The following is a 19,443-nucleotide window of genomic DNA, read 5'->3' as shown; positions in this document are numbered from 1 at the left end:
CTCTTACTGCTCCGTATGCCACCTCCTCCAGGAAGCCTCTTGGATTCTCCCAGGCAGAAGGTGTTGGTCTCTCTTCCATAATCCTATTGCCCCCTAAAGATTATGCTAGCATTGCTGCCTGCCTTGGACCTGTGCTGTGCATGGAAAGCCCAGCCCCACGTCACACCTAGTCATGTTCCATGGAGCCTTGTTAAATGGATGCAGGAATCACGGGATGCCCTGAACGAGATAGGTTGGAGGAGCCTCCACCTGTTCACCATCTGCCTCCACAGCTTCCCTGCCACCTGTCCTGGGAGGATGACCTGCAGGCTGCTGGGCTTCTGACCCACCTGGGATGGCTCAGGCCACCCTCTCCCACTTGGCTGGGGTTCCTACCTTCTACCTGCTGTCTTCCTCTCATGGGGTAGTTGGGAGGAGGGCACTTAGCTTTGCCCTGGCTGACCTCTCCCACCCCACTGGCCCAGCTACCTTCTTCTGGTTAAAGCTTCAGGCCTGGCATGTGACCCTGGGCTGGGACCCACTGCAGAAAGGGTCGGTGTTGGCCCACAGGTTCTGTGGCTGCACCTCAAGCCCAGGAGGCAGGAGGGGCACTAGTCTCCAAAGTCAGCCCCAAAACCGTGTTTTTTTTGACATCACATCATGATTTTTCCTCCTAGATTTGGTGGCCCAGGGAGGCGGCAGGCCCCTGGCGGAAGCCCCCCAGGGCACTGTGATGAGTTCAGCCGCCTCCCACAGAGGATGAGTGGGTCGGCCAAGGCTCTGGCGGAAATTGCAAATTAAACTTAAAAGGTAACCTAGCATTTAGTTAGCTTTTTAGAAAAGAGCTGTGGAGTGGCCAGAAGGACGGCCACAGAGAAATGACAACAGTCACTGTCACACTGAAGCCCGAGTGCCTTTACCAGGGTGTGAGCGATGTCACCACCGTTTCCTCCTTCTTCCCAGCCACCGTTCCGGCCTCTCAGAAGCTGATTTTTTCCACCTCCACCTCCTTCCTCTGCTGCTGTGGCTGCACTCCAGAGCCTGCCCGCCCGAACCCTTCTCCAAAGGAATCGACTCTTCTGCAGTTCCCCTCCCCGTGGCCTGAAGACACAGTTTTCCTAATAGAGCGTTTCATAGCAGCAAAGCGGTTGTCGATAAACCCTTCAGGTCGAGCAGAGCCCGTGAGTCAAAGGAAATCCGTGCTAGTCATTGAGCACTGAATGACTTGTTTCAAACTCAAGTACAAGCCTGGCTGGGAGAGAAGATTATTATTACTGTTATTAAGTCTTCCTGTACCTCCTATTGAACATCTTATTAGCAATGTGTGTAAGCATCTGCTCCTGGACCCAACTTCGATACTACACTGTTGACTCCAATTTTATAAATGTGTAAGAAGTGAGTAAATTAAGCGGTGTGAACCCTGCCGGGGCCCTGACCCTGCCAGCCTGGTGTGCAGGCCCAGGACTGCTGTACAGCATAATGATTACATTACAATCTTGTGATATTATTCACAATGACTTCAGATGAATGAATGATAAACTAGGGGTTATGCCGCCTTTATTACAGAGCTGATACGATAGCTAATCAGTGTCCAAGTATATGTCATTACATAAATTATGAACCTGAATTTGATGTGAATTCCCAAAGAGGCTGGTTCTGAACATCATCCAGTATAAGGCCACAGGCTGAGCTCTGAATTCTGAAAACAACAGCCCTTTTTGCTCTCATAATTTCTGTAAATTACTAATAGATATCTTTAAAGGCCCAGGGAATATACTTTAATCCACTAAGACTTTCTTTGTGGTAAATGATCAACACTTTTTTCTTTCAAAGACTTTTTTCCATCCTCCGTGTTCTGCGTCTGTTTAACGAAGGTTTTCTTATTCCTTAAGCTGATACGTGAAGAATAAGAAAGACTACTAAATGACCGGTCAATTACAGATGGGAGAAGAGGCATTAAAAAGTCAAGTGTGGGATTCTCCAAAGCAGATCTAAAGCCAGAAGCCAGGCTCTTGAGGGCGAAGACCAGGGCTCCCTGATCCTGTCTTCCCAGAGTAGGCACACGCTAGTATGGGTGAGGTTCCCTGTATTCAGGCTGGGTGAATAAATGAATGACTTCCTCAAGGAAATGATACTTCTGGTTAGAACACTGCAGCCTGAGAAGCTTACACTGATTCAGGGAGGCTGGGCAGAAGTGAGCAGATCTGGGTTTGAATCTCTCATTCACTTGCTAGCTCAGACCCAGGGAAAGTTGTTTTTTTATTTTATTTTTTATTTTTTCGAGTTGGAGTCTTGGTCTGTCGCCCAGGCTGGAGTGCAGTGGCATGATCTCAGCTCATGGCAGCCTCTGCCTCCCGGGTTCAAGCAATTCTCCTGCCTCAGCCTCCCAAGTAGCTGGAACCACAGGTGTGCACCATCATACCCAGCTGATTTTTGTATTTTTAGTAGAGATGGGGTTTCGCCATGTTGGCCAGGCTAGTCTCGATCTCCTAAACTCAAGTGATCCACCTACCTTGGCCTCCGAAAGTGATGGGATTACAGGCGCGAGCCACCTTCCCTGGCCTCAGGGAAAGTTATTTAAGCCCTCTGACCTTCACTTTCTTTATCTGGAAAATGAGAAAAGATAATATCCATGTATACGATGGTGAGGATTTCATGAGATACTGTGACACTTTGACAATTGTTGATTGCTGCCATTTGTAATAATAAGCATTCAACAACTGAGAGCTAGCGTTCCTATGAGCATCATTGTTGTCTATGGCAAGACATGGGGCAGCTTTAGCCTGGAAATGTGTATCAAGGAGGCCACAGTAAAAACTGGGTTGGGATAAATTGTACCTTTTGTTCAAAGTTCCTTCTGTTAGATTTTTTTTTTTTTTTTTTGCATGTAACTTGCCAAATTTCTGGAATAATTGTGGCTTCCTTCTTTTGCATCGTAAGATGTGAGACCTATGATGACACTGACTAGGAAGGGCCACTCCACCAGCAGAGGCCAGGTGACTCCTGCATCGGGAGGTTGTCTTTAGCAGCTGCCTGTGGGAGGTGCAGGGCAAAGAGTCCTGCTGTCGTGCACCGGTGTTGGTAATACTATTAACTGGCCGTGTGCCTCTGATTAGGAGGCTTCAGCATTCTAAGCCTTTGCAGAGTGGTGCAGAGGTAGAGGTGAGGTGGGGGACAGATAACCTCTGAAGTGTCTTTCAGCTCCATGAGTTCTAAATATTTAACAAAGATTTTTACATTGACTGCCTCTTCATTATACATATGACTTAGAATTGTACATTTATTTCCAAAGGATCCAAAAAGGACCTGGCCAGCATTTTTCAGCAGAAGGTGAATGACAATGGGATTGACAAAAGAGATGAAGAAGTCAGGGAGCATTGAAGATTGGAAGGGGACAAAGTGCTGGAGTCACAGGGCAGAGCCCAGTGAAAAGACAAATAAAATGGGGGACCTTAAAAAGATTTTGATTGAATTTGAGAAATCAGGCCAAGTGGGAGAAGAGACTCAACCACATTATGTTCAAGGGAAGGAGGAAAAAGAATGAAGAGAATTTGTCACTTCCAAAGATGGCAGTGACATTGGGAAGGAGATTAAACGGTGTGAGTGTGGTTCAGGACATGCAGTGCTTTCTCTGTCCGGCCGTAGAGAATCGCTAACTGGCAATGGTGCTAGTAACTGAATATTGGGATGGCCTGTCTGCTACTTATTTATTCATCAAGGTGGCATAGATAGGGCTTGGAGGCTGTGTTTTAATGACAATTTAGAGTTAGATGTTTATTGCTTTTTAAAAACTTCATAAGGGAAAAACTTAAGACAATTCACTGACGTACTTCGTGTGTGTCGTTTTCCTTCTGCTTGGAGGGTATCAGCTAAGGGTGCTAATTACAGAGCCCGGGGCCAGGAGCTGGCTCTGCACACACTGGTCTCATCCCGGGTGCTACTGTTGCATGAAGGGCAGAGGTGTTGGTAACCCTGATGCTGGCATATATGCTGTCAAGTTGGCCTATGATTTTAAGAGTATTGATGAATATTAATATTCCAGGTGAATAGTCTGAACTATAACCTAAGTTTAATGAGCTCACCACATATATTGTTGGGCTGACTTGTTAAAACACTCAAATGTAGTTTTTGGAACTCTAGAGATTCACTAATATCCAGGCAGTAAGATTAAAAAACAATAAAGGATAGCTGTTGAGAAACATGATTTTAGATGAAGCCAGAGGAGAAAATTAGATCCTAGAGTAATCAGCATCATCAATGGGAGTTTAACTGGGTTTAGCCATTACGGAATCACTAGGCAGCCTCGAATATTAAAATATTAAAATGCCATGATTCCTTATGTCTGGATCTTACATGATATAAATGCTCTTATTTGTTTAATTATGCTATTAAAGGGAACCAAACAAGAGGTTGACCCACATTCAGGTTGAGAATCAGTGTGACAAATCAGTATTTGTATTTTATAAATATTGTGTATCCTTCTAATATGATTTTTACAAATTCAATATGCTAGACCACATGGTGCGGTCCATGGGATCAGAATTATGTTGTTTAGATTACACTGTGGGGTGTGGTTCCAGCTTTTGGCTGGGCCACATCATCTATAGTTAGGAGGGACTTTACTGAATAGCTCCCTGCTGCAGGGAACAGTTGGTTTCTGTTTATTTGTGGGCTGAGGCTAAGCACAGATAATTGTATTCCCCAAAGATATTTTTCTCAAATTTTGATAAAGTCAAAATAGAAATTAAACTGGAATTCTGTAGCTGATGGCATTTATAGGAGTTTTTGCTAACACAAATGTTATGATATTTTTAAAATGAAGAAAATTGGCCTTTCTCCCAGAAAGGCAATGCTGGGAGAAATTGGCAGATCTATTGAAGCATACACATATGAAACAACAAGTACAACGAAAACCTCTTTCTCTTGCAGACACACACGTGCACACACAAACAGGCTTTGCTGTGAAATATTCAGCAGTGGAAAACCACTCTCTTTCTGTGAAATCTCCAAAGTTTAATTTAACAGAATTTCTTAAGTCACAGCCAAAGTTGAGTCTGGAATTTACAAGTGTAAACTTGAAATATCTCCACCAAATGGCCACAAAGGCCTACAGTTGCCTGTTTCTTTTCTAAACATGCCAAGGTGTGTGTCCATGTGCTTGTGTGTGTGTGCACGCGTGTGTGTGTGTGTACATGCACAGATGATGCTTTTTTTATTTTTAGTAATTCCCAAAACTTATTTTTCTGGATCTTAATACTAGGTTCACATAGCCCTAATTACCATGAAAATTTAGACTGAGTAGGCAAATCATTCAAATGATTCATATGTACTTGAAATTTATGAAGAGAGTAGGTGACCATGTGAAGGGATGCATTCGTTAATTAGTTTGTGAACATCATTTCACATATATATCAAAATGCCACCACCTATGCCATCAGTATATACAACTCTTATTTGTCAATTACACCTCCAAAAAAGCTGGAGGAGAAAAGGCAATGAAAGTTTAGTAAAACCTTTTAGGCTAATTTCCTGCCTGTCTATAAAGACCAAGCAAATCATACGTATTCATTCATGCAACAAATGATCGTGGCACACTTGCTGTAAACCGGCCTCTCTCCTGGGGCTGCGGAGGGAAACACCCAGCGCCCTGCTTTCTGGGAACTTCCCACTTGGTGAGCGGAGGCATCAAAGCACCAGGTTTCAGCCAGCCCTGGGAGAAAAGCCCTGGAAGCGGGGAGAAGTCAGGAAGGAGCATGACCTGGAGTCTGCCGTGGAAGGCTTCCTGAAGGAAGCCGCATTTTAGCTACCAGCTGAAACTAGGCCAAGAGAGAAACTGACATCCGCCAGGCCGGGGAACCAAACATGTAGCCATTCCAGGAGTGGGGAGGGCAAGGGCCCTGCCCAGGAACGAGGCCGGGGTGACCCAGTGCAGGACATGCGACACAGTGGGTCTTGTAAGGGGCATCCAGGTCGGTGGAGGCGGATCCTGCAGGACTTTGTGGGACATGTTTTGGGGTTCTGCCTGCAACTGGGTCAAGGAGCATCCCTGGAAACGTGGTTGAAATGACACGGAGGCTGGCTCCCGGAGTCTCCCACAGGAGAGCAAGGGGATAACAAAGTAAACCCTGCTGGGTTTCAGCAGGGTTTGGAAGTTGAGCACCCCTTTGTTCTCATTTTAGCCCAGTTGCTAGAGAGGCAGAGCCCTGTTTATAGACAAGTTCTCTCGGCTCCTTGGCCCCTCACCCTCCTCCTCTGCTCCTCCCTCCTCTCCTTTTCCTGCTTTGCTGCACCCTGATACCGTGGGATGCTGCCAGGCAAGTCTGGATTTCCTTCCTTGAAGGAGGTTCTTTCCAGCCCAAAAGGATGGGGGAGGTCTAGAATTAAGATGACAAGACTAACAACCACGTCAAGTGTTTGTCCCCACCATTGACTGTGAGACAGACCCCAGAGGAGTGGAGGAGGCTTGGAGAAGTGGAGAGGGCAGGAGGGAGAAAAGGGGAAGAAGGAAGAGAGGACCAAGGTGGGGGCTGGGGTGGCCAGTCGTGGCTTTGAATCGTGACTTTTCAAGGAATGTTCAGGCATGTGTTTTCTCAGATATAAAATAGGAAGAGCATTGGTCTCTGTCTCAGACAGTGTTTGGCACAATTAAACGAAATCATGCAAGTGCACACTGGAAGTGTTCGATAAGTGCATCAAGGTATATGATAATAGCATGATATAATACTACCCTAGTTTTTATTATTTAGGTTAGGAAATATTATAAGTGTGTTTGAAAGTGAAAATGCATTCTCTTTCTCACAACACAAGGAACAAAAATAAACTTCACCAGTGGAAAATGGAAATAGACATCTTAGAATGGTCTTAACAGTAATGATGCTTTAAAACATGTTTTGAAATGCAGGATGTTCAAATTGTAGGTGCATTGCCTACTCGTTCCCCCTTTCAATGATAAAACTGTTTATTTTCACATGGAATTGGATCACTTTTTCAATAATAGATTGTGTAGAAACAGTAAAATATGACTACAACTTCAGTCCTCAGCACAGGATAGGTTCTATGGCATCGAGGAACCTACCAGAAACCCCAGTGACCAACACAATTCAGGAGGGGGACGAAGGGTCCCTGCTGAGTCGCCGGGGCTGTGTCTGTCACCTGTTTTCTTCCTGTGCCTTCTGCGGCACTGATTGCCGTGAATAGGCATTACGTGTGAGGACGATGTGGAAAATGGAGTCTTGGGATAATGTTTGAATATTTGTTTCTGCATTTACATGCTCCATTGATGAATGAAATAGTAAATATTTAAAGCCTGAAACTCTTTTCATTTCTCCTTCAAAGACCCACTTCGAGCCTCTCTGGTCGACGTGGCACTGCGACTCCTCAAGTCATTAATCACTCTTTGTTTGGGCCGGGTTTTATTGTTCGGAATTGTCCAACTCCTGCTCGGATGGGAGAACACCGGGGCACTGGGTTCTTTGTTCAATCCGCGGGTCCTGTGGACACACCTGGGGGCCCCGGGCTTTGTGCAAAGGGCAACGGCATTTTGACTTTGTTGTGTATCTGAGCGCAATTCCTGTACATCTTTCAAAATACAAAAGGTAAAGTGTTGACGTATTGTCTGTAATCATGCAGCTTGACAAATACCTGGCTGCAATTTTTCAGCTCTCTCCCTAGGAATGATCACCTCTTAAAAGCTCTGCCTAATTAATTTTAAAACACATATCAAAATCGAACCACGAACGTTTTATTGGTGACCAATTATTTCTGAAGATTTATTTACGGACAGAACAGGGGAAGAGATCGATATGATTATGTGGTGTGCAGAAATAAAAGAATTACCAGAAGCACTTGATGTTTGCAATTTAATTCACAACTTGGAATTATACAGTTAAACTTGGGTCCTAGGAGGCCCTATGATACAATCCATCATTAGGAAATATTTAGGAACATTATTGGAGAGCTGTGATAATGTATGGCTTTGTAGCTATGTTAATGTGGTTTAGGAATAAAAAATAATAACTTTCACCCCAAAATCATATAACATAAAATTTTTTCTGTCAGCGCATGATTTGTAGGAGGCATCCTGCATGTATGTATGTATCGGCAGTTCTTTATAAGATGCATACATTTTTATTTTGTTTACCAGTATGCAAGGCACTAAAAAGGGTTTTATTTGAAGCACACACTGCAGATTTACAATATTATATTCGAGTGTATACATTTTCTAGCAACAACAAAAAAAGCCCTCTACTGTATCCATACCAGTGACAAATCTGCCAGGAAGTGACTAGTTGATATGCCTTTTTATTACCGCAGCTGCCTTGTTTTTTCTACTCAAAATAAAAGAAAATCACAGGATCCTTAAAATAATAGCTGGCAGCAGGTAGTTACTGGGAAATGCATGTCCCGGCTCTTCACTTTGTAGCATCCATCCGGATGGCAGATTAGAGGCTGGGATCTGCAGGTCGGTGACAAATACACGGGTAATAGCATTCAGCTTGCCTAACTGTAAAAGTGAATTCACTAGTCCTCTTTGTTTGATTGTAGACCTGACATGTCAGATGAGAAGGGGCCTTGGATAACCTGCCAAAACAACAGCACAAATAAACGCCAGACACCGGGGCTGCTTGATGTGGAATTACAAACATCGCTCCCATCATCGATTCAAATGCAGCTGATATGTAAAGCTCACGTTGTGGCTGCCTTAGATGAAGGGGGATCTCGCAGCCCAAGTGCACCCGGCGGGGTGGGGCTGGCGGGAACAAAGTGCCTCCCTGGTACCCCGGCTGCTCATTTTCCTCGGGCAAGGTGGGAGCCGAGGCTCTGCACGCAGGACGGCGATATTTAACATGCATTGGTTTTCTTATAAAAGTTCTCTGATTGTCTAATGTGACAGACTCTGGCATGGGAGACACTGCCACGAAAATTGCCTCCTGTAGCACCGCTTGATTTAAGGGAGAGGCAGCGCTTGGGAGAAAAAGAGTCAAATGCATGCAGCTGGTGGTGTCTTTCTTTACATATTCCCTTTGCGTTCCTGCAGAGCCCCGCGCAGAAGGTGGCAATTGTGGGAAGAGGGCAATATTTACTGGCTGTGTTTCTTTAAGACCCAAAACCACAGTGGTGGTGATTACATTTCTGCCTCATGTTAATGCAAATCCCTATGGTTGATTGCAAGATTTAATTTTTTTTAAAAAAATTGATGCATAATAGATGTACATAGTTTTGGGGTGCATGTGACAATTGAATACATTCATAGAATTTATAAAGATAAAATCAGTGTACTTGGGATATCCATTAACTTCAATAGTTGTCTTTTCTGTGTGCTAGAACCATTTGAACTCTTCTCTCGTTAGGATTCATTCTGTTTTGTAGGTTACATAGGGATTATCAGAAAAGGCTTTTTAAAAAATTCTATCTTAAACTATAGAAAAGGAATCTTTTATGATTTCTTTTGAAATTTTTGTACCAAGCTTTGGTTTTTACCACCTCACTCCAGAATGGCTAAGCTGACATTTTTTTTTTTTCCCACAATGTGCAGATCTGAAAGCTGTAGGGAAAATAAGTTACAAAGACCTGCCCTTGAGCCAGGACTTTTCTGCGTTCAGGGCGGGTCATCGGGGCCGTGGGTTGGGCCACACCGCCACATTGACGGCAGATGACCCCTCCATGGCGCTTGCCTGCCCCGGCACCACCACCCACACTGCATCCTGTTCTGTGCCACCTACAAACCAGAGTCAGAAAGATCTCTTAGCCGAAGTGGTATGAGTGAGATTTAATGCAAGGATTAAATGACCAGTGGTGCTCAGAGAGATTATTGACAGCTGGTTTGCCTCACGGGCAGTCCATTTTGAAAATAACCTGCACATTGAAAATATGCTGTACATTAAAATACACATTCTCTATTTTCAGCCCATGATGTAAAGTTCATCCCAATAACAAAGTACTAAATGATTGTGGATCACTCTGTTTGATCGGAATTCCTTAAAAAGTACAGCCAAAGGCTGTGAGTTGTGATTTCCAGGTCAGCAATCATCCCCAGCAACATGCCTGGATTTCCGATGTTTCAAAAAAGAGCGCACGTGAAATTTACATGCGAATGTTTAGCATCTGCAATGATTCGCACTTTTCTTAGCATGCTTGATGGTGCGTCCCAGGATTTCTAGCCAAGTAGAGTCTTTCAGCATCCTGGTGACATCCTTATTTAGCAAACAGACTCTTCAATCAGAAAACTAAATTTAGGTCTTTGCAAGAAGGTTATGAAAACTAATTTTTCTGTTGCCAATATTGATGATTAAATCACCCTAATTTACATCCTCTGAACTAATCATGGGATGATGTATTTACCTGCTATGTTTACAAGAAGTAGATAGCAACAATTAAGTTTATTTTAACTGTAGTTATGAGAAATACAGTAAACGGTAATAGATGCCAGAAGCAAATAAACATATTAGCAGGAAATGTTCAAATGATCTGAGTAACCCTACAAGCCAGCATAGCAGGTGGTGATATCCTGTTTTTAAATTACATTTCAGCAAGTGAACATAATAAATCCTCCTGTGTTATACATTTCGCTGGTAGCGACTTAGACTCACATTATTCTGTTTGACCTCATTCCTGCTAATCACCATCCTGGTTTTAATAGCTGCCACAGTGAGTGAAACAGTTAATGCAGTATTTCTTGCCGAAAGAGTGCCTGTCAGGCTATTGATGACAAATTAAAATTAATAAAGAAGATCTGTGTTGAATTGGAGGGAATGGAATAACGACGGCATCCACGTGACGGCTGCGGCCTCTGGGGCGCTCTGTGAAGAATAATGTTTTTGGTGTACGTGCATTGTCTTGAAAGGAATGCTAAAACTGCCAAATCTTTGCCTGGAAGACTTCCTGAAATGGGAGCTGTATCCTTTCAGCCATCATCACATGTAATTTATCCCTCAGAGAGTTATTTCCCGTTCTGCACACCTTAGCTCTGTGCTGTAATAATAGTATGTTTCCAAGGTTCTACAATTTTATTTACCTCGGTAAGAACCTTTACAAGAACAATCACATCCACATAGGAGTCCAGAAAAGACGGTAAATAAGTAAAAGTTCCGTACGGCATTTCTGCCTAAAACACCTGCCTCCATGTTGAGGGGCTGGGGCATTTTGTGCAAGAACCAATGCCACTGCTTGTTCCAAGAGCACTGTGCATTTTGGGGCGGTTCTTTCCTTTCTTACAGAAAATGAGGTCTAATCACAGTGCATTTATGTTTTCAGTGGTGGCAGAATGAGAAAGCAAAGTCTTCCGAAGATTATATGAAATTTGCAAAACGCAAATGTTCCTGTAGCTTATGTATGTTTCACATCTACTTATAAATTGCATGTTCAATACAAGGAAAAAAGATTTTGCTGGGAAGGTAGGAGCCGACGGGGAAGGTGAGGCACCATGGGGACGGCTGCTCCGAGATGTCGGGGTCAATGAATCCAGCAAGGCGGGATTATTGCAGCCCCACATAGACAGTGGCCAGTGTCCCAGAGTCAGCGGACATAATTTTGACTGTACCCGGGAGACGCACTCCGAAGCCCGAGATATCTCTTCCCCCAAAGAGGCAGTCCCTAAAGGTCAACGCGGAAGTTGTAGGGAGGTCCGCCCAGGGAGCGCTGGGCATTATGATTGCCCTGGAAAGAGGAAGCAGGACAAAACCAGGGCTCCCAGACCCCTTCTGGAAATCTAGGGGAACCCCAGTGTCACCACCACAGTCCATGAAATGAGGCCTGTGGTCCTCTGGCCCTACGGGGTCAGGAGCCTGCTGTCCAGGCTGGCCTGACCTCAGGCCCGTCCCGCCCTCAGTATATCCTGGATGTATTGTGCCTGTCCCGTCTTCAAGTTGCCAGATCCAGTGTTCTAGGGGAATAAAGAACAGTGGGGAAAAGTCCTGTCCTGGGGCTGTGGGGCCCCGGGACAATGAGCTGACACCTTGGAGACCACTCTCTGGGTGGCAGCCTGTCTCCCCTCCTTCCCTGTTCTGTGCTCCTGACCTGGGGCCACCTGGCCGTGGCTCCTGGACCATCCTCAGGCTTGAGGGTCTGTGTTCCCCCAGCTTTGTGTGCCCAGGTCCATCCTGAGGCTGTGTGCCACCCACCCTGCCCGTTCTCACTGGGCACGCAAGCCATGGTGCACGCCACCACCTTCCTGAACTAAACCATTTTGGGTAGAGATAATCTGAGATTTAACCATTCATTAAAGGACTTGGACATCTGCCTAATTTGGACGGACTTGCTATCTGTGATTTTCCTCTTCTCCCAGCAGCAGGATCTGGGCCACTCCTTGCCTCAGTAGGACTTCCGGCATTGAGTCCATCTGAATGACGCATTTTAAATTTAGAATATATCAGCAAGGAAAAAGAGAATTTGGAATTTAGATATTTGACTAACACAGTGCCCTTCCCTTCCCTTCCCTTTCTTTCTTTTGAGATGAGGGTCTTGCTCTGTCACCCAGGCTGGAGTGCAGTGGCATGATCTTGGCTCACTGAAACCTCTGCCTCCCTGGTTCAAGCAATTCTCCTGCCTCAGTCTCCTAAGTAGCTGGGATTACAGGGCCCGCCACCAGGCCCGGCTAATTTTTGTATTTTTAGTAGAGACAAAATTTCACCATGTTGTCCAGGTTGGTCTCGAACTTCTGACCTCAGGTAATCCACCCCACCTTGGCCTCACAAAGTGCTGGGATTACAGGCATGAGCCACCGCGTCCGGCCCTCTTGCCACATTTCTAAGTCCTGGTCTCACTTCTCTAAAAGTTCATATAGGGGCTTAATTAGAAACTGACATTGTGTATTATAACCTGATGCAAACTAAGAGCCTTCTGCATTTTGTCCAAATGTCTAATGATCATGCAGTACGTTTGATGCGTAGTAGTTGTGTATTCCCTCTGTTGAATAAAGACTCATCCATTTAACAGGGGTACAAAATGATGCTATGTATCCATCTCAGTCCTGAAACCAGGAATTGTTCTACTACAGGATTAAGAGGGTTGACACCTTGAATAATTGAGAGGAGGTCCTTAGCAATTCAGAGGGTTGACATAGACTAGTCAAATTGCTCTGTCTCCGAGTTGTAAAATAAAAATACAGAAAATGAGAAATTAATTCAATTAAACATTTTCCCACCCACATTTTACCTTTCCTCACTGCTCTGGGGAATAATTTATGAAATGTATATCACCAGAAGACTTATTTTTGCCATTATTTTTAACTTAATGAGTATACCTTGCACATCAGAGGGAAAGAACAAAGGTTAAATTTTACATTAACAGCACATTGCAACATGGTATGCAAATATCTATATGCAAATATAAAGCCCCTGGAAGATAAATGTGTTATATTTTTAACCAGTTAACTATGACTGTGAAGTATTGCGTGAGATATTCAGTGGTTTCATTTTTATATCTTTCTTGTAAATAATGCATAAAGTATGTAGATGGTGTCAAAATATGATTAAGCTATTAGCTTTATAGTTTTCATAGTTAAGAATGTGTTCAGCATGGAACCCCTAATAACTCATTTCTAAAGGCAGTGGCCATTATGAAATATTTCTTGTTCAAGTGAACGTTGTCATGTGACATAATGATTTTGCTTAAAACCAAGTTAAATGAGGAGTAAAATTAAACAATATTGCATGAATTGTGTTTGACTAATTTTGTGTCACATTATATTAGCCAAGCTTTCAGAATATGTGTTAATGACAAATAGTGTAAGCCCCAACATACTTTATATGTCTGTACAACCACCCTTAAGTCATTAGCTGTTTAAGGGTTCATTTTGTTTGCAGTTTTTATAGCCAGTGGCTTTTTCTGATGATTTTTGCCCATAAAAGTAGACACCATTTGGAAATAAATGTTACATACATTGCGGGAACTTCATTTTAGTAACAAAAGCTTGGATTTTATAAGAAAACAAAAACAAATCCTTCGAAACTTGAGAAACCCAAGGAGCTAAGCACTATCTCTAAATTAGATATTAAAATGACTTTTCAAAATAGTAATTACTATCTCAGAAGGACTCTTCTCTCACACGGTAGCAGGCTCTTCCAAATAAAATTTGGAGAGAAGACATATGATCATCAACTTTGCAACCTCCTCCAAGGCTAACAACATCTTTAAGATATTCTGATTGAGCTAACCTCTTTGGGATATGCTGTGGGAGGTGGCCTGAATTTGTTACTGGTAAATCATCTGTGATTTGGTCTGCAGGCTGCCCAATCTTGTCGGGAGAGCGTGGGGGGCAGATGGCATTTCCGTGGCAAGTCTGACATAGCAGGAGTGGGGCCAGCGTCACCCGAATAGCAGAAGGGAGCAGGCTAATGTTTGCACTTGCTGCATGGAAGGAGAGCTTGACCTTTACCCAGAGCAGTGGCAACCTCCATGTAGTCATAACCACGATCTTTGCTGATCATATAAAGGGATTTAAAGTGTTGGGAAACACCATGTATGGAGTAATAAAACTGACCGAGTATGAAACAAACATCATGTAGGTATCGATGCTATTCTCCCAAATGTTTGCAATCTCACAGAGCTTTTGCTTCTAGGAGGGGCTCCCAGGTGAGAGGCAGGCTCCTCTGGCCTGTGTGCACGAACAGAAATGGATGGAACTGCATGCCGTGTGCTACCCGTCCGTGCCAGGTGAGGGGGGAGGATGAGCAGGGGGCACAGCCAGCACCCAAATGTGCTAGGACAAGATCAGAAGATTGAGAGACATGAACATAATCCAATCAGCACAGACCTCTCTTTTTTCTACGAAATTCCCTGGACCACCATGAATATCTTGAAGGACTCCGTTTGTAGTCATTAGCAAAACACTGTTATGTTTTAGGCACTTTTTGAGGCTGAATGTGATTAAATGCAGTGCTATTTGGTGCTAAGGCCATGGATCTGCAATCGGATGCTGGTGTTAGGAAGCAGGTGATGAACTGGACCAAGGAAGACCATGGGGTGGGTGGGAGGCATCTGCTTGGGCACAGGTGTGCCCTGTGACTGCAGCACCAAGTAACTAGGAGTGGGCTGGGGACTTGGCACAGTGACAGGACAGAGTATTTGAAAAGGAGGAGAAAGACCCACACACATAGCATGATGATGATGATTATGATGACTGAACACGTTTACACCAGCATTCAATTCACGTGCTCAGGACTGGGTGTTGTATGCACAGAAAGAAGATCTGAACACTTCGTAAAGGCCGTGATGACAGCAACGTAAAAACACGCGCATATCTCCACATGGAAAACTATATGGAAGGAATTGCTACACCTGGTGGACAGCACCTATCCAAGGATTAGTGGATCCTCTCTGATTTCTGTTTTCTTTTTCATTCTTTTTTCTGAATTTTCCAAATTTCCTTCAATGTGCCTTCAATTTTAACTTTGCTTCAATTTTATGGAATTTATTCATTTTCAAAAATTGAGATAAATATAAGGGATAAACAAAATACCTCAAAATTTCAGCACCCAGATTGATAGCCTCTGTTGGCATGAAGGAAAATACATTTCAAATACAATATACATATTAGAAAAGGGCTGGTAGCAGATGAGAGTTACTGTCCTGGAACCTGATCACTTGTTACTCTCAGTACACTGAAGTGCTATTTTGGCACTGAAGAGAATGCAATTGTCAAAGACAGTTAGAAAATGTAAACAAAATGTAGTGTGAAAGCTTTACTCCTTCCATTGTTCTCCTAAAAGTAATTGACACTACTTTTAAACATACTTGTAAAGAGGTGGTTATGCATATACCTGCATGTGTCTCTGTGTGTGTGCTTATAATTTACACATGAGGGATCATATTACATAAACCTGTTGCACCTTGCTTTTTTCGAGGAATATATCTTGGATCTCTTTCCATGTCATCATGGATATATCTACCTCCTTCTTTTAAAAGCCTGCGTGTATTATTATCCTTTTAATCAGTCCTTAGTTTTGGAAAACAATTCCCCACCGCATGTTAATTTTATCACAGGGAAGAAAACCAGAACCAAACAGTATGAATTGTTTTGAAGAGCCCATGCGTGTCATGAACTAGATTATTTCAGTGTGTGGGAAACAGACAGACCATGATTGTTCTCACTTGACCTTGGTGAGTCCCATGCCCCTCTGTCCTCTGTGGGCCCAATCTGTGTACCAGGCCCTCAGGACTCCAGGGCAAAGCACAGCCTTGCACTGCAGCCCAGAGGCAGGCAGGCTTCACCACGTTCTTCGGGATGGCCTGGGACACGTCGCTGAACTTCCCAGGGCTCTGGGTCTCAGCTGGATAAGGCAGAGCTCTGGTGTGATTGATGTGTGCCCCAGTGGCCCAGGGAGCTCTCAAGGTCCTTCCAGCACTGAGATTTCTGATCCTGTATCACTGAGGTGCCACAGGGCCAGAGTCTCTGACAGTCCTAACCCGTCCAATGCCAAAATAGCACTCTGTTGTATTGGACATGGAGAAGTCACCAGTGGTCAAGCCCTATGATGCTAACTCTGGTCTGCTGCCAACTAGTGGGTGATGAAACCGCTCAGGGTCCCCGATGTTTCCTGGGAATGTTTGGCCTGACATGGGAGCTCCTCAGTCCTCTCCTGTTCAAGTGATTGTTTTTCATTTAAAAAACAGTCAAATGTACTAATTGTGAAACATTCAACAGTGAAGTAAAAGCGAATGCCCAGCACTCCTGTGCCAACTTCCCTAGAGGAAACCACCCTGAACTTGTATTTCCTTTCAGACATTTTCTAGCCTAACCAGCAGGCACACATCTATTCAGCTGTGCACATGTGTGTGCTGCCTTCTGCACCAATGAGACCCCATTTTCAGCTAGCTTCTTGTTTTCTTTGCCCTCTGCAGCACACACAGATGCCTCCATTCTTGTCCACAGCTGTGCAGTAGTCCATTGAATGGGCAGGCATTTCGATGGTATAGATAGGATCTCCCACTATCACAAACAATACTACAACTAATATCCACAGATGAACATGTACTTGTATCTGTGAGTGGTTCCATTGGTTACGGTGGGATTGCACCATCAGTGGGAGATCATGCCCAGCATTTTATCGGATGTTGTGAAATGTTCTCCAACCTGGTTTCCCACTGGAGTCCAGCCAGGGTGATGGGGATTTCCTGATCCCATAAACCTTCACCAACATGGGGTTTTATCAACCTTTTCAACCTTTGCCAACATGATATGGTGCAAACAAGAGTCTTGGTTGACCTGATGACTCTCCAGCAGCTTCTCTCTCCTTCCCTTCTCTCCCACTCCCCTTCTCTCCCCTCCCCTTCTCTTTCCTTCCTCCCTCCCTCCCTCTCCCTTCCTTCCCTCCCTCCTTCCTTCCTTCCCTCTTTCCTTCCTTCCTTGCCTCCCTCCCTCTCTGCCTTCCTTTTCTTTCTTTTTTCTTTTCTTTCCTTTCCTTTCTTCTTTCTCCTTTCTTTCTTTCTTTTCTTTCTTTCTTTTCTTTCTTTCTTTCTTTCTTTCTTTCTTTCTTTCTTTCTTTCTTTCTTTCTCTCTCTCTCCCTTTCTTTCTTTCTTTTTCTTTCTTTCTTTCTTCTTTCTTTCTTTCTTTCTTTCTTTCTTTCTTTCTTTCTTTCTTTCTTTCTTTCTTTCTTTCTTCTTTCTTTCTTTCCCCTTCCCTTCCCTTCCCTCCCTCCCTCCTTCCTTCCTTCCTTCTCTCTCTCTCTTTCTTTCCTTTTTACTTTCTTTCTTCTTCTTATTTTTTGAGACAGGTCTTGCTCTGTCTCCCTGCAGCCTCACCCTCCCAGACTCAGGTGATCCTCCCACCTCAGCCTCCTGAGTAGCTGGGACCATGGGTGTGTGCCACCACACCCAGCTAATTTTTGTATTTTTAGTAGAGATGGGCTGGTCTCAAACTCCTGAGCTCAAGCGATCTGTCTGCCTTGGCCTCCCACCGTGCCGGGATTACATGGATGAGTCACTGTGCCTGGCCCGGCAGCTCATTTTCTGCATCTTTGTGCCCTGTGGCTTTTTCCTTTCTGGCCATCTTCTTCACTTTCTGATCTGGGGTCTCTTCAGTTCCCAAGATGTTAGCTCTCATGTCTGTGCTCTGGCCTCCAAGTCTCAAGTTGGGGAGTCCCAGTATCTCTTCTGGTTGCAATCATTGCTTTTGGTCATCTCTCCTTACCCCATCCACATTCCACATGTCCAAACAGGGACCTTTCATCTGCCTGTCTAATCTTGCCTTGCAGACTTTGGTACTCAATACAAATGTGTTGAATAATTACATGAATAAGTGCAAGGATATCAGGACAAGGAGGAGGCAAGGTTTAAATTTTTCTACTGTTTTCTGACCAATCATATATGAAATGGGGTTTGATATAATAGGAAAGACATTTTCTACTTCCCTTTCTCTTGCAGAATGAAATTGACTTTGCATGATGCATCATTATTTAACCAGTCCTCATTTTTAATTTTAAAAAACCCCCTCATGTTAATTTTACATTTAGAAAAAAAACCCCAAGAAAACAATATGTGTTGTTTAAAAAGACTGCACACACTGCACACGTGGTCCCTCCTGTGTGGAAGTGAGGGTGCACTGAAGCTGCTACCGCAGCGCTGTCTGGGGGCCTCGTTTCTCTTCTTCTGCAGGATTTCCCAAATTTGAGTCAAAACTGGTGGCATTTGGAAAAGGTATGATTAACTTTAGGATGTGCATATATATATATGTGTGTGTATATATATATATGTGTGTAAATATATATATATGTGCATATATATATATATAACTGGAATTGTGATACCATTTGATCCAGCAATTTATCTTAAAATTCAGACTCATGTGTAAAGTCAAAAGATGCTTAGTAAAACTCAGTGCCCAAGAGTAGAGGACTGGCTCATTAAATTATGATACAGCCACAGAATGGAATAGATGCAGTCATTAAAATAGCATTATATATGTGCGTGTGCATGAATGTATGTATAGACACGTCATTGTGTAAACATAGATGCATACATGTACACATACATTGATACAAGAAATGTTCACAATATAGTGTTAAACAAAAAAGCACGCTTCAAAACACGGTGTAGGGTATAACTCATTTATCTGAAAAATATATATATTTTAAATTGAGACAGAGTCTCACTCTGTCGCCCAGGCTGGAGTGCGGTGGCGCAATCTTGGCTCACTTCAACCTCTCCCTCCTGGGTTTAGGTGATTCTCCTGCCTCAGACTAGCAAGTAGCTGGGAGTACAGGGGCCCGCCACCACACCTGGCTAATTTTTTGTATTTTTACTAGAGATGGGGTTTCACCATGTTGGCCAGGCTGGTCTTGAACTCCTGACCTCAAGTGACGTATCTGCCTCGGCCTCCCAAAGTGCTGGGATTATAGTCATGAGTCACCACACCTGGCCTGAAATATATATTAATATGCATACATTTATGGACATAAAGTCTAGAGAGATATAGTCACCAAAATGTTAATTATGGTTGCCTTTTAGCACTTTTTTCTTATCTAGAT

General features: G+C 43.7%; 2 annotated features.

The window, feature by feature from the left end:
- Positions 5,307-5,807: an enhancer, noted in NCBI's record as "H3K4me1 hESC enhancer chr10:131196103-131196603 (GRCh37/hg19 assembly coordinates)". NCBI's record gives its function as "activates a minimal SCP1, AML or CMV promoter by ChIP-STARR-seq in primed H9 embryonic stem cells {active_cell/tissue: H9 hESC(primed)}" and the evidence as "EXISTENCE:reporter gene assay evidence [ECO:0000049][PMID:30033119]".
- Positions 5,808-6,308: an enhancer, noted in NCBI's record as "H3K4me1 hESC enhancer chr10:131195602-131196102 (GRCh37/hg19 assembly coordinates)". NCBI's record gives its function as "activates a minimal SCP1, AML or CMV promoter by ChIP-STARR-seq in primed H9 embryonic stem cells {active_cell/tissue: H9 hESC(primed)}" and the evidence as "EXISTENCE:reporter gene assay evidence [ECO:0000049][PMID:30033119]".

Source organism: Homo sapiens, chromosome 10 (assembly GCF_000001405.40).
Source record: "Homo sapiens chromosome 10, GRCh38.p14 Primary Assembly".
NCBI classification, from domain to species: domain Eukaryota; kingdom Metazoa; phylum Chordata; class Mammalia; order Primates; family Hominidae; genus Homo; species Homo sapiens.
The sequence above is the reverse complement of the archived record's forward strand: the minus strand, read 5'-3'. Positions and strand labels throughout refer to the sequence as shown.